This window comes from Homo sapiens, chromosome 12, assembly GCF_000001405.40.
Source record: "Homo sapiens chromosome 12, GRCh38.p14 Primary Assembly".
Classification (NCBI taxonomy): Eukaryota; Metazoa; Chordata; class Mammalia; order Primates; family Hominidae; genus Homo; species Homo sapiens.
In genome coordinates, this window is record NC_000012.12 from 50,806,851 (window position 1) to 50,822,050 (window position 15,200).

Genomic DNA, 15,200 nt, shown 5'->3' on the forward strand with positions numbered 1-15,200 from the left:
CTGACTATTCTACAGAAATGCCTAAAACAGAGTCCTATAGGACTGACACCTCCATTGTGCTTCCTGTGGAACTTCTCTTAATATAGTCTACAGTTGTATTAGCTCTTGGTGGGACGACAGTCCACAGAAAGGAGACAAACTGGAGAAGGATCTTCAACATGTTATAGAAGAACACGTGAAAAAACTGAAAGTATTTGGCCTAGAATAAGGAAGACATGTAGCAATTATCAAATATCGCAAAGTAGGGCATGGATATAGAATTGGGATTAGGCTTAAATTTCTTGCTGTGACTCATGCCTGTAGTCCCAACACTTAAGGAGGCCTAGGTGGGAGAATCACTTGAGCCCAGGAGTTCAAGAACAGCCTGGGCAACATAGGCCCCATCTCTACTAAAAAAATAAAAAATTAGCCAGGTATGATGGCGTGTACCTATATTCCCAGCTGCTTGGGAGGCTGAGGCAGGAGGATCGCTTGAGCCTGAGAAGTCACGGTGGGGTGAGCCATGATCATGCCACTGTACTCCAGCCTGGGCAACAGAGTGAGGCTCTGTCTCAAAAGAAAAGAAAAAAATAATAAATAAATTTCTTTAGTTTCACTGGATGGAACCAGTTTTGGACCCAAAGAAGGAAAGGCTCTAACTATTCAATAATAGAATGGTTTACTTTTTGGAAATAGTGGGTGCCTTTTTCCTGGAAGTAGAGGTTTTCAGGAATGTTAGAGAATTTCTCCATGGGCTGGGAAGTTGGCATAGATAAAATAAAATAGCCATTTTCATTCTAAGGGCTTTCTTTTTCCTTTGTGGATTATTTTTTGTTGTTGTTTTCACGTAAGTATTTCAGTTTTCTCATTTTTCTACAGTGAACATAGAATTCTTAAGCATTTCTTTTTTCTTTTTTCAGAAGCAAACAATGCATATTGCCTACTCTTTCCTCTACCCCCAATTGTGTGTGTGTTTTTTTTTTGTTTTTTTTTTTTTTTTGAGAGAGTCTCACTCTGTCGCCCAGGCTGGAGTGCAGTGGCATGAATTCCACTCATTGGAGCCTCCACCTCCCGGGTTCAAGCAATTCTCCTGCCTCAGCCTCCCAAGTAGCTGGAATTACAGGCGTGAGCCACCATGCCCAGCTAATTTTTGCATTTTTAGTAGAGATGGGGTTTTGCCAAGTTGGCCAGGCTGGTCTTGAACTCCGGACCTCAGGTGATCCGCCTGCCTTGGCCTCCCACAGTGCTGGGATTATAGGCGTCAGCCACTGTGCCCATCCCCAATTGTCTTGAAAGACCTTTCTTTTCAGCAAGGAATACTTTTTCCATCCCTTATTCCTGTCATTAGTGCCATTTCACCAAGTCTGAGGGATACCCATGGGATCATATTTACCTCTTTTTGTTAAAATAAGCAATTTTATTCATCATTGATACGCTGTGCATTTTATAGTTTTTCTTACCTACTTCGTTTGGAGAACTGTTTTATTGTTTTTTTTTGTTTGTTTTTGTTTCTTTTGAGATGGAATCTCACTCTGTCGCCCAGGCTGGGGGTACAGTGGCACCATCTTGGCTCACTGCAACCTCCGCCTCCCAGGTTCAAGCAATTCTTCTACCTCAGCCCCCCGAGTAGCTGGGATTACAGGCTCGCACCACCATGTCCAGCTAATTATTGTATTTTTAGCAGGGATTGGGTATCACCATGTTGGCCAGGCTGGTCTCCAAACTCCTGACCTCAAGTCATTCGCCCACCTCAGCCTCCCAAAGTGTTGGGATTACAGATGGGAGCCACATGCCCAGCCCTCTTTACTCTTTAAACTAATATGTAATCAGCCTGGAGCACATCATTATAATAATATATGCTAAATAAAAGCATTCTTTGGTGTAATAGTTTAAGTGTCTGGTAGATTATTGTAATTTTTTTTTTTTTTGAGGCAGACTCTCACTCTGTCGCCCAGGCTGGAGTGCAGTGGCGCGACCTCGACTCACTGCAACCTCCGCCTCCGGAATTCAAGCGATCCTCCTGCCTCAGCCTCCCAAGTAGCTGGGATTACAGGCGCCTGCCACCATGCCCAGCTAATTTTTGTATTTTTAGTAGAGACAGGGTTTCACCATATTGGCCAGCCTGGTCTCAAACTCCTGACCTTGTGATCCGCTGGTCTCGGCCTCCCAAAATGCTGGGATTACAGGTGTGAGCCACCATGACTGGCCCGATTATTATAACTTTTACCTGAGATTGAAAAAGTTTTAGGAATTTCTTTTTGTGGCCGGGCATGGTGGCACATGCCTGTAATCCCAGCACTTTGGGAAGAGGAGATGAGTGGATCACTTGAAGCCAGGAGATCAAGACCAGCCTGGCCAACATGGTGAAACCCCGTGTCTACTGAAAATACAAAAATTAGCTGGGTGTGGTGGCTCACACTTCTGGTCTCAGCTACTTGGGAGGCTGGGGCACAAGACTCTCTTAAGCCAGGGAAGCAGAGGTTGCAGTGAGCCATGATGGCGCCACTGTACTCCAGCCTGGGTGACAAAGCAAGATCTTGTCTCAAAAAAAAAAAAAAAAAAAAAATTATTTTTGTGAAGTCATTCACATTACCAATGTTTAATAGAGTTCTGGTTTTTTTTACAGAAAAATTTTGAAAGACTTATCTTCTGAAGATACACGGGGCAGAAAAGGAGACGGAGAAAATTCTGGAGTTTCTGCTGCTGTCACTTCTATGTCTGTTCCAACTCCCATCTATCAGACTAGCAGCGGACAGTACAGTATGTATAGGAATCAGTTTCCACATTATAAACACACAAAACCTGACTTTTCTGTAGAAAGAAATGGTGTTAGGAAAACTGTAATACTTTGATAGTGATGATTATTAAAGGATGTTTTCAGCCAGGAATAATGCGAAGTACTGTTTCAGCATTATTTACTCCTTATAACAACTTTGTGACATAGGCAATTATCAATGTATGAGGGAACTGAGACCTACAACATTAGATACTGTTTTGTTTTGTTTTGTTTTGTTTTGTTTTGAGACAGAGTCTCGCTCTTGTTGCCCAGGCCGGAGTGCAGTGGCACAATCTTGGCTCACTGCAACCTCTGCCTTCCCGATTCAAGTGATTCTCCTGCCTCAGCCTCCGGAGTAGCTGGGATTACAGGCGTGTGCCACCACGCCCGGCTAATTTTTGTATTTTTAGTAGAGAGGAGGTTTCACCATATTGGCCAGGCTGGTCTCGAACTTTGACCTCAGGTGATCCGTCCACCTTGGCCTCCCAAAGTGCTGGGATTATAGACATGAGCCACTGCGCCTGGCCTTATTTTGTTCATTCTTATATCTATGTAGTTCCGTACATAATTGCTGTATATTATATTAGTATAATTCCTTTCAGAACATTCCTGGCTTTTTTTTTTTTTTTTGAGGTGGAGTTTCGCTCTGTTGCCCAGATTAGAGTGCAGTGCCATGATCTCGGCTCACTGCAACTTCCACCTCCCGGGTTCAAGTGATTCTCCTGCCTCAGCCTCCCAAGTAGCTGGGATTACAGGCGTGTACCACTTCGCTTGGCTAATTTTTGCATTTTTAGTAGAGACGGGGTTTCACCATGTTGGCCAGGCTGGTCTCAAACTCCTCCTGACCTGAAGTGATTCACCCACCTTGGCCTCCCAAAGTGCTGGGATTACAGGCGTGAGCCACCACGCCTGGCCCCTGCCTATTCGTTAAAAATATTTATTGTTTGATTTATATACAGTAAAATTCACTCTTTGGGGAGTTTAAGTCTATGAGTTTTGACAAATGTGTAGAATAGTATAACACCGCCAATCAAGATTGAGTTCTGTCACCCTAACGAATTTACTTGTGCTGCCCATTTGTTATCTCCCCCTCCACTCCTAACATTAATCTGTTTCATTCAGTCTTGCCACAAAATATATGTCCCATCTGACCACCTCTTGCCGTCTCCAACCACCACCGCCTTGGTTTAGGCTCTCATCTTAATTACTGAAGTAGGCATCCAGTTGGTCATCTTGCTTCCATTCTTGCTCTAATAATCAGTTTTCCATACTGTGGCCAAAGTGATTTATTTAAGATGTCAACTAGATCACATCGCTCCTGCCCAAAATCCTCTAGTGACATTTTATCACACTTAGAATAAAATCCGGATCTTACAAGGCATTACATTTAGGATCTGCCTACCACTCTGACCTCATCTCCTGCCACTTGGTGGCATTCTGACCACCCCAGACTTCCTTACTGTACCTCAGACACACGAGCTTGTTTCTGCCTCAGGATCTCTGGAGTTGTCATTGCTCATGCCTGGCATGTTCTTCCCCCAGATCCTTATGTGGCTACTCTGCTTAAGTGTCACCTCCACAAAGAGACCACTCTCTTCAAATATGTGGCTCCTCCCTTTAGTTTCCCTTAACCTCCTATATTTTTCTTTATAGCATTTACATATAACTAAGTCAGTACATATTAGTTTAATTATAGATTGTATGTATGTAATTATAGATTAGCTTATTCATGATCTGTTTTCCCCACTAGAATATAAGATCCTTAAGGGAAAGAACCTTTTGTTTCATTCACAACTACATCCTTGACATATAGGACCTGGCATATAGTAGGCTTTCAGTTGTTTGTTATGAATTAATTAAATAATATATATATAGAATACCTCTTGAGAAACTGGGGGCCAGGCACTGTAGTTCATGTCCGTAATCTCAGTACGTTGAGAGGCTGAGGCTGGAGGATTGCTTGAAGCCACATTCAGGACCAGCCTTGGCAACATAGCAAGACTGTGTCTTCACAGAAAAATGAAGAAAAAAAAAAAAAAAAAAAGCCGGGCATCATGGCATGTGACTAGTCCCATCTACTCGGGAGGCTGAAATGGGATCTCTTGAGTCTGGGAGTTCGAAGTTACCGTGAACCGTGATCGTACCACCGCACTCCAGCCTGGGCAATAGAGCAAGACCAGTCTCAGAAAAAGAAGAAAGAAAGAAAGAAACTGGGAGCAGTGGTTGCAAGGAAAGAAGCTTGGGAGCAGAGATCAGAGGTAGTGGGGAGGTTCACATGTTATCACTGAAATAAGTGTAGTACAAACTAGTATTTAGGGCAACATAGGCCAATAGAACTTCGTATGATAATGGGAATGTTTATATCTGCATTGTCCCAGAATAGTAGCCACTAAACCATGTGTGACTGTTGAGTGCTTGAAATATGGCTGGTGGGACTGAGAAACTGAAATTTTAATTTTGTTTAATTTTAGTTAATTTAAATAGCCACATGGAGCTAATACCCTATCAGACAGCTCAGTTTTAGAATAAATACAGCACATTAACAGGTAAATACACATGTTAAGAACAGGAAGATATGTTGCAAAAATGAAAATATGTATTCACACATATTTAATATCAAAACATTTGCATCTACAGGTATGTATTTTGATATATTAGGTTGGTGTAAAAGAAATTGCAGTTTTCACCACTGAACATAATGGCAAAAGTATATAAGTCTGTATAAGCACAGGAAAATAATGGGAAGGATGTGCACCAAAAACAATAATTATCTCAGGATGGCGGTAAAAGGGGGAAAATGAAATAGAGATAGATAATGGGACCTTTAATTTTATTTATGTTGATACTTATATAAATAAATGTGTATGTGTATATATGTATATAATAATGTGTTGCAGGGAAGAAGATTGAAACTAATTGCTAATATAACTTCACAGCAAATCTCAGCCTGGCGTGTTGGATCACGCCTGTAATCCCTGCACTTTGGGAGGCCAAAGTGGGAGGATCACTTGATTTCAAGACCAGACTGGGCAATATAGGGAGACCCTATCTCTATAAAAAATTTAAAAATTAGCTGAGCATGTCCGTGTGCATCTATAGTTCCAGCTACTTGGGAGGCTGAGGTAGGAGGATTGCTTGAGCCCAGGAGGTAGAGTGCAGTGGTGAACCAGGACCACACCACTGCACTCCAGCCTGGGTGACAAGTGAGACCCTGTCTCAAAAAAAATAGCCAACATATCCCTGTATCTAACATTTAAAAAAATATTTTGAAACTCATAAATTAAAGTTGGGGCAGTTGGGGAGGGATAATTATGAATGCGTGAAAAAAAATATTTTTCCATCACACACATATACATATACATGTATTTTGGCTTCCTGGTAGCCAAAGCATAAAAGGAAAAAAAAATGTTTCATAACTGTAATCTGAAAAGAGGGTACAGAGATGAGGCATTCGATTCTGAAGAGTATATGGGAATTGAATAATGCTAAAATGTTTTCTATTTGATCATGCCTTATGGGCATTTAAGGGCTGAGGAGAAAGCATGAACACAGGTATAATTCAGTGAAAAAATGTTTGTGGGGAGCTAAGTAGTATTTTCTACACAGTGGCTTTCTGCTATCTTTATTAGTGATTTTCACTAGGAAGTAAATGAATAGATTACATTTCTTAACTATCACTTAAGTAAATATCTTAATAACATGTAATACATTTAACAGTGGTACCACTAGAAAATGAAGCTAAGAAACCATATAAAGATGACTTATTTTCTCATTATATAACCTTTTATTCTATTGAATTTTTTCCATAAGCATGTTATCTATTCAGAAATATTTTAAAGTAATAATATTTTTAATGCTTTTGACTCAAAATTACAAACTATGTTTATGTTTCCTTTTTATTTTTTCTTAAAAATTAACTATCATGGGGCCAAGTGCAGTGGCTCATGCCTGTAATCCCAGCACTTTGGGAGGCTGAGGCGGGTGAATCACCTGGGGTCAGGAATTTGAGACCAGCCTGGCCAACATGGAGAAGCTCCGTCTCTACTAAAAATATAAAAATCAGCTGGGCATGGTGGCGCACACCTGTAATCCCAGCTCCTTGGGAGGCTGAGGCACAAGAATGGCTTGAACCCAGGAGGCAGAGGTTGCAGCCAGCCGAGATCGTGCCACTGCACTCCAGCCTGGGCGGTAGAGCGAGACTCCATCTCAAAAAAGAAAAAAAAAAAAGAAATGCTGTTTTATTCCTTTTACATGTAGTTCACCTAAAGTAAAGTAGTCTGCAGTTACCAAGTAGAAGTGCATTCATACCTGTTTTAGTAAATAGTGTTTGTGGGCTTTTTGCCACTCCTTTGAATTAGTGTATTATATAACCTTACAATAGCTATTTTCTCTTTTTGATTAAAGTTGCCATTGCCCCAAATGGAGCCTTACAGTTGGCAAGTCCAGGCACAGATGGAGTACAGGGACTTCAGACATTAACCATGACAAATTCAGGCAGTACTCAGCAAGGTACAACTATTCTTCAGTATGCACAGACCTCTGATGGACAGCAGATACTTGTGCCCAGCAATCAGGTGGTCGTACAAAGTAAGTATGCTTTCTGTCTACAGAAAGTCTCCTAACACTGTCAGAGACACTTACTAACTAACTCATTCACTCTTGTTTACCATCTAGCTGCATCAGGAGATATGCAAACATATCAGATCCGAACTACACCTTCAGCTACTTCTCTGCCACAAACTGTGGTGATGACATCTCCTGTGACTCTCACCTCTCAGACAACTAAGACAGATGACCCCCAATTGAAAAGAGAAATAAGGTTAATGAAAAACAGGTAGGTAGTAAAATCGTAGTACCAGAATGGGTAATGTTTTTACAAATCTCACAACATAACCAGATGTTAACTGGAACTGTATACAGTCATGGGCTGCATGACAATGTTTAAGTAAACAATGGACCACATAAATGAATGACGGTGGTCCCATAAAATTATAATGGAGCTAAAAAGTCCTGTGCTAATGTCATAGTGCAACACATTACTCACGTTTGTGGCAATGCTGGTATAAACAAACCTATTGTGCTGCCAATCATATAAAAGTGTAGCACATGCAATTATGTATAGAACATAATACTTGATACTATAATAAGTTAATATGTTACTGGTTTATGAATTTACTATACTTTTAATCATTATTTTAAAGTGTATACCTTCTACTTTTTTTTTTTTTTTTTTAAAGTTAACTGTAGGCCAGGCATGGTGGCTCACGCCTGTAATCCCAGCTGAGGCGGGCAGATCACGAGGTCAGGAGATCGAGACCATCCTGGCTAACGTGGTGAAACTCCATCTCTACTGAAAATACAAAAAAATTAGCTGGGCGTGGTGGCGGGCGCCTGTAGTCCCAGCTACCCGGGAGGCTGAGGCAGGAGAATGGCATGAATCTGGGAGCCGAAGCTTGCAGTAAGCTGAGATTGCGCCACTGCACTCCAGCCTGGGCAACAGAGTGAGACTCTGTCTCAAAAAAAAAAATTTTTTTAACTGTAAAACAGCCTCAAGGCAGCCCCTACAGGAGGTATTCCAGAAGAAGGCATTGTTATCATAGGAGATAACAGCTCCCTGTGTGTTATTGCCCCTAAAGACCTTCCAGTGGGATAAGGTATGGAGGTGGAAGACAATGATATTGATGATCCTGACCCTAGGCTAGTTAGCCTAGGCTAATGTTGGTGTTGGTGTCTTAATTTTTAACAAAAAAGTTCAAAAAGTAGAAAAGTTATATTTGGTTTTTGTGATTTTTTTTTTTAAGACAAGGTCTCACTGTGTCACCCACACTGGAGTGCAGTGGCACAATCTTGGCTTACTGCAACCTCTGCCTCCAGGGCTCAAGTGATCCTCCCAGCTCGGCCTCCCAAGTAGCTGAGACTACAGATGTATACCACCACACCCAGCTAATTTTTTTTTTTTTTCTTGTAGAGGTGGGGTTTTGCCATGTTGCTTAGGCTGGTCTCAGACCTGGGCTCAAGTGATCCATCCACCTGCCTCAGCCTCCCAAAGTGCTGGGATTACAGGCATGAACCACTGCACCCAGCCCCCAAAAATTTAAAATTAGCTAGTACAACCACTATGAAAACCAGTATGGAGACTTCTCAAAAAACGAAAAATAGAAATCTACCCAAAGGAAAAGAAATCAATATATCAGAGGGATACCTGTACTCATAAGTTTACTTGCAGCACTATTCACGCACAATAGCTAATAGAATCAACTATGTGTCCATCAGTGGATAAATGGATAAGAAAGAATTAAATCATGTCATTTGCAGCAACATGGATGGAATTGAAGGTCAGTATCTTAAGTGAAATAAGCCAGGCACAAAAAGAAAAAATATCACATTCTCACTTATATGTGGGAGCTAAAATATTTGAACACATGGAAGTAGAGAGTGGAAAAATAGGGCTGGGCGTGGTGGCTTATGCCTGTAATCCCAGCACTTTGGGAGGCCGAGGCGGGAGGATCACTTGAGCCTAGGAGTTCAATGCAAGCCTGGGCAACATACCCATTGCTACAAAAGATAAAAAATTAGCCAGGCATGGTGGCGTGTGCCTAAAATCCCAGCTACTCGGGAGGCTGAGGTGGGAGGATTGCTTGAGCCCAGGGGGTTGAGGCAGCATGATCGCACCACTGCACTTCAGCCTGGGCAACAGAGCAAGACCCTATCTCAAGAAAAAAGAGAGAATGGAAAAATAGGTAACAGAGACTGGGAACGGTGAGGGGCAAGGAGGAGGATGAAGAGAGTTAAAGGGTACAAACCCATACACAGTAAGATAAAAGGAATAAATTCAGTGTTTCATAGCAGAGTAGGATGACCACCCTTAACAAAAACCTATTAATACTCAGGTGATGGACACCCTGAATCCCCTGACTTGATCGCTACACATTATATACATGTAACAGATTTTCTCATGTGCTCCATAAATATGCACAGAAACATTTTAATGGAAAAAACCATACAGGCCAGGCGTGGTGGCTCACACGTGTAATCCCAGCATTTTCGGAGGCCAAGGCAGGAGGATCACTTGAGCCCAGGAGTTTGAGACCAGCCTGGGCAATATAGGGAGACCCCATCTCTAAAAAAAATTTAAAACATTAGCTAGATGTGGTAGAGGCAGGAGAATCACTTGAACCTGGAGGCAGAGGTTGCAGTGAGCCATGATCACGCCATTGTACTTCAGCCTGGGCAACAGAGCAAGACTCTTGTCTCAAAAATAAAACAAACAAAAAAAAACACACAAGTAGTTAATAATCATATAAAAGACTACTCAGCCTTATTAGTAATCAAAGAAATACACATTAATGCTACACATTTAGATACCCTTTATACCCACCCAATTGGCAAAAATTTTAAAGTCTAACCAAGAGTTGGCAAGGATTTGGAACAATGGTCAGGAATTCATAGATACTACTATAGGAGTGTAAATTGATGCAGCCATTTTGGAAATTAGGCCTTATCTTGTACAGTTGACGTGGGTATACTCTGTGACCCAGCTGTTTTAGTCTGTGTGACTGAGAGGAACTTGGAGGAAGTATGTATAAGAATTTTCATAGCAGCAAAAAATCAGGAAACAACCTCAAGATTCATTGATAACAGAATAGGTACATATTGAGCCTAAACATAAAAATGGGGGGAAAAAAGAATAGGTACATAAATTGTGACTGTATTTATAGAATGGAATGTTTATTTGTAATGACTGAATGAATAATCATTTCAACATGAATAAATCTTAGAAAAATTGAATGAAAAAACAAGTTGCAACAGAATACACAAAGTATGATATTTTATAATTTTAGAAAATAAATGATAGCAGTTTTAGGGTCATATACGTATATACTACAACTATAAAAATAAGAAATGAGATGTCACGTAGCAAAAATTATAAAGTGGTAATACTGTCTGTCATTGGGCATATAAGGAAAAGGGTACCTCACATACATTACTGAGGGAAGTACGGAGTTTTATGGTATCTACTTGCCCCAACATTTCTACTTGTATGTGACAAAAGATACCATAAAGAAACTTAAAAATAAGTCTGTTAACTGGGAAAAATATTTGCAACTTTTATATAAAGAGAAAGAATTACGAGATGTATAGGTTATATAAAGATTTATTTCTGTAAATAAGAGACCTAACAGAAGGAAACCGGTCTGTGAAAGATGGCCTTGTAAACATGAAATTATTCCAAACTTTGTGCATAATGAGGGAAATGTTAAAGCAGTGAGGTTCGCTTTTTGTCAGCCGCTAGACTGACAACCATTTTAAAATGTTCATAACAGGCACTCTCATGTACTGCCCCTGGGAATGTAAATGGTACAAATACTCTGGAGGACATTCTGGCATTTTTTCCCTTTTTTCTTTCTGGTTTGACTCTGGGATTTTTTTCCTTCCTTTTTTCCCCCCTTATTTCTCTGTACTTCAATGAATATAAATTGGCACTATCTCTTGACTTTAAGTGAATATAGCTTGTGATCCTTCAAGAAATACATGTGTAGAAATACACGTAAAGAATGGAGGCTGAGTGGGTGGCTCATGCCCATAATCCCGACACCGTGACCAGGAGTGAGACCAGCCTAGGCAACATACTGAGACCTCATCTCTACAAAAATAAAATTAGCTGGTGTGGTGGTGTACACCTGTAGTCCCAGCTACTTGAGAGGCTGAAGTGGGGATATCTTGAGTCCAGGAGGTCAAGGTTGCAATGAGCTGTGATTGTGCCACTGCACTCAGCCTGGTTGACAGAGTGAGACCCTGTCTCAAAACAAAAGAAGAAAAAAGAAAAAGAATGTTTACTGGAAACCACTTAAAACAAACAAACAAACAGAGCTTAAAGGTAAAAATAAAGTCTTTTTGTGAGGGGAAAGATTTTGTACAGTCCTTTTAAAGATGTGTACTAAAAAGCAAGTTGCAAATAGTATCTACATATATAGCATAAAAATCTTAAAATAGTACTGTTTCTTTCTTTCTTTCTTTTTCTGAGACAGAGTCTTGCTCTGTTGCCCAGGGTGGAGTGCAGTGGCGCGATCTTGGCTCACTGCAACCTCCACCTCCCAGCTTCAAGTGATCCTCCTGGGTCAGACTCCCAAGTAGCTGGGATTACAGGCATGTGCCACCACAGCTAATTTTTGTATTTTTAGTAGAGATGAGGTTTTGCCATGTTGGCCAGGCTGGTCTCGAACTCCTGACCTCAGGTGATCTGCCCGCCTTGGCCTCTTAAAGTGCTGGGATTACAGGCATGAGCCACCATGCCTGGCCAATACTTCCGATTTCTATATGTATATAAACTTACATATGACTTCACAGAAATGTTTTAAGAGGACATGCACAGAACTGAGTATTTGCTCAAGCATTGTTTGTAATTTGAACTTAAATAAAAGAAGTCATGTGTCAGAAGTTAACCAGAGGACCCATAATTTCACTCTTTGGTATTTATTCAAGAGAAATGAAACCTTTCTACAAAAAGACTGGCACAAAAACATGCCTATGCAGCTAACCCTAGAAACATCGCAAGAGACTGGATACACAAATGGTGGTTATATTCATACAGTGAACTATGTCCAGCAGTGTGAAGGAACAAACCCCCATGCAGCAACATGGATGAACCTCAGATGGGCTGAGTGAAGGGACACCAGAGTACATAGTGTATGACACTCTTACATGAGGTTCTAGAATAGGAAAAAAACTAATCTCTGGTGATAAAAATCAAAACGATAGTTGCTTGGAAGGGGGCTGACCAGGAAGGGGCATGAGGGAACTTTCTGGGACAGTGGGAATGTTCTGTTGTCTTGACAGAGGTGTGGGTTATACAGGTATACACAATTGCCAAAACTGACTGAATTCTACACTTAAGATCTATGTATTCTCTGTGTGTAGATGATACTTTAAAGAGAAAAAAAGGTGACCACGGAAAATTACTGAAGAACATTTACCATTTAAAGAATGTGAAGTTTTTTCTAACATTGTTTTTTTAATGCTCATATTTAGAGAAGCTGCTCGAGAATGTCGCAGAAAGAAGAAAGAATATGTGAAATGCCTGGAAAACCGAGTTGCAGTCCTGGAAAATCAAAATAAAACTCTAATAGAAGAGTTAAAAACTTTGAAGGATCTTTATTCCAATAAAAGTGTTTGATTCCTAAGAAAGAAAATATTTTTGTGGACATGCATAAAAATTAAATGGATTTCCTAGTGGAGTTTTATAAATTAAAAGGTCAAAACTGAAGCTTTTTATTTAGGCTTTTCCAAATCAAGGATAAATATCTTACGCACGATATCTAGTGACAGAGGAGAAAGTGGAAAATGACCTCAAGGAAGCTACGGGCACAACTGGAAGCTTTGTAGAAATTAAACATATTCAAGGAGCAAGAAATGAACTTTCAGCAGTCTAAATTTTCTAAATAACCAATAGTTGCCAATCTAAAATGGCAGAGAAGATGAAATTTGATAAACTGAATTTTTTTTAAAAATCCATTTACCCTACAGGTTTGCATTTGTTTGCTGAAATTTACCTTTTTTTAGTTATATATATGTGTGTGTGTGTGTGTAATTTCTGCCAATAAATTCTAAATTACAAAGGTAAGAGAAAACCTAGTACATTACTAAATATATAAAGTATATGTTCTGATTATGTATACTTGTTCTAGTGTCAAGTCTTTTTAAGTGGGTTTTTAAAAGTTTGTTATTGGACTTGAATGGATTTTTGAGACTAGGTTAATTATTTTTGAGGTCTTATCCTAAAAGGCATCTAAGGTACATGAATGGAGTATGGTGATTTTATAACATTTTTTATCAGAATGGAAAAAGAACTGTTTAAAAGTTTGATACTTTTAAATAGTTGGTTTTTTTGCTTACTCTGGTAATGATTTTCTACAAATACATAATAAATTGTTTTTTTGAGTCTATATTCTGTATGCAGTTGAATATCCATTACTTATTCTGCTGTGCTTTAATAGAATGGAATGTTTACAGGCCCTTAAAATATTATTTTTAAAAAACCTTCTGAAGATACATACCAAAGTTTTTCCAAGAAGATTTTATAATCAATTTAATAATGTAAGGTTTATCAGATTCTATAATAGTATAGTTATTAAGGCAATTTTATGTTAGAGACTATTTTGTAATGTAGTGAGTGGTACCTTTATAAGAAAAGTGACTGCCAATATATTTTTATAGCTGATCTTTATAAATTCTAATGTTGAGTTTTTAATGATTATTTTAAATGTTTATATAGTTTAGTAAAATTTGCATCTCAAAGTATCATTTTTATATTATGGGACGTTTTCAGATTGGCTAATATTTGCATTGTAAATTTTGTATGCAGTTTATCTAAAATTCAAAAATACTGTCAGTACACCAGCGTTTAACATCTATATTCCAATTTGTATACAGTTTAAAATTGTACTGCAAAACTATTGTGTGCTCTTACACAGTATGCATCATATTGTTGTCTGTGAAATTAAAGGACATTTGATAGTCTACTGAATGTAAAATATAATGCTTGGTATATGAATGATAAGCTTGCTCCTGGCCATGCTGTTAATTATCCTAATGCTACGTAGAAATCTTCACTTAACTGATACATTTGTGTTTGACCCTCCTGATGAAATTTCTCATTAGAAGGGTCTTTTAAAATGGGACTCTGTTGACTTGGCAGCACTTTATGAAAAGAAAAAAAAGTTTGATCGCCAGGGGGATTACTTATATCACTTACTACCTTGTGTAAAGCCAGAATCTCAAACTGGTGGCCCGTTAGGCCTAAGAATATGAGGAGGTATGAGGTCACTGGGTTATGTCAAAAGACTTTTTCAACAGATGATAATATATTATTGGGTAGACACCGTGCTTGTTTACAACAGAGGTAGCCTAGCTCTTAGTGCCTTAACAGCTGGACATCTGCAAATATTTGTAAACTCTGCTGCCTTCAGACTTCTGGTGTAGGGCCTTGCTAACTAGACCCAGTTACTTACTCTAGCTGTATGAAACAGGTCAGGGCAAACCATTAATGGTTCCATAAATGCATAACAAATTATTTTCCTGGGTGTTTTTCTAATTGGAATCCAATGTGGGGCTTATCAAATTTTTAAGTGATTATAGTCCAAACATGAAATTAGACTTCCAAAATGCAAAAGACTAATCAAATTATTTCCTTAGTTCAACTTGCTATTTTACTTATCAATTTACTCATTTATATATTATATTGATAGAAATAGATTATTGTCCACAAACACATATAGGGCATATAAGATATTCCTTTAATATTGAACAGAGCAGGAAGAATGGGCATTTGTTAGCATTTTGGAATTCTTACTGTATTTATTCATTCAGCAATTATTATATTGCAACTACTAGGTTAAACCTGCATTCTCCAATTAAAATATGAGGTCACAGTAGTGATATAAAAATG

General features: G+C 39.2%; 1 protein-coding gene across 29 annotated transcripts in view; it reads left to right on the plus strand.

The window, feature by feature from the left end:
* Nucleotides 1-14,312, plus strand: part of ATF1 (activating transcription factor 1) — a 57,704-nt gene extending 43,392 nt beyond the window's left edge. For 21 of the 29 annotated variants that reach the window (NM_001412970.1, NM_001412963.1, NM_001412969.1 and 18 more), the window contains 4 exons: nucleotides 2,606-2,739; nucleotides 7,160-7,342; nucleotides 7,430-7,589; nucleotides 12,785-14,312. In NM_001412970.1, the coding sequence (NP_001399899.1) occupies nucleotides 2,694-2,739; nucleotides 7,160-7,342; nucleotides 7,430-7,589; nucleotides 12,785-12,929 (534 nt within the window). In that variant the 5' untranslated portion in view covers nucleotides 2,606-2,693 and the 3' untranslated portion in view covers nucleotides 12,930-14,312. Of the gene's footprint in view, nucleotides 1-2,605; nucleotides 2,740-4,770; nucleotides 5,014-7,136; nucleotides 7,343-7,429; nucleotides 7,590-7,992; nucleotides 9,091-12,784 lie in introns of all 29 variants that reach the window. The other 8 variants (NM_001412982.1, NM_001412981.1, NM_001412979.1 and 5 more) reach the window with 6 other exon arrangements.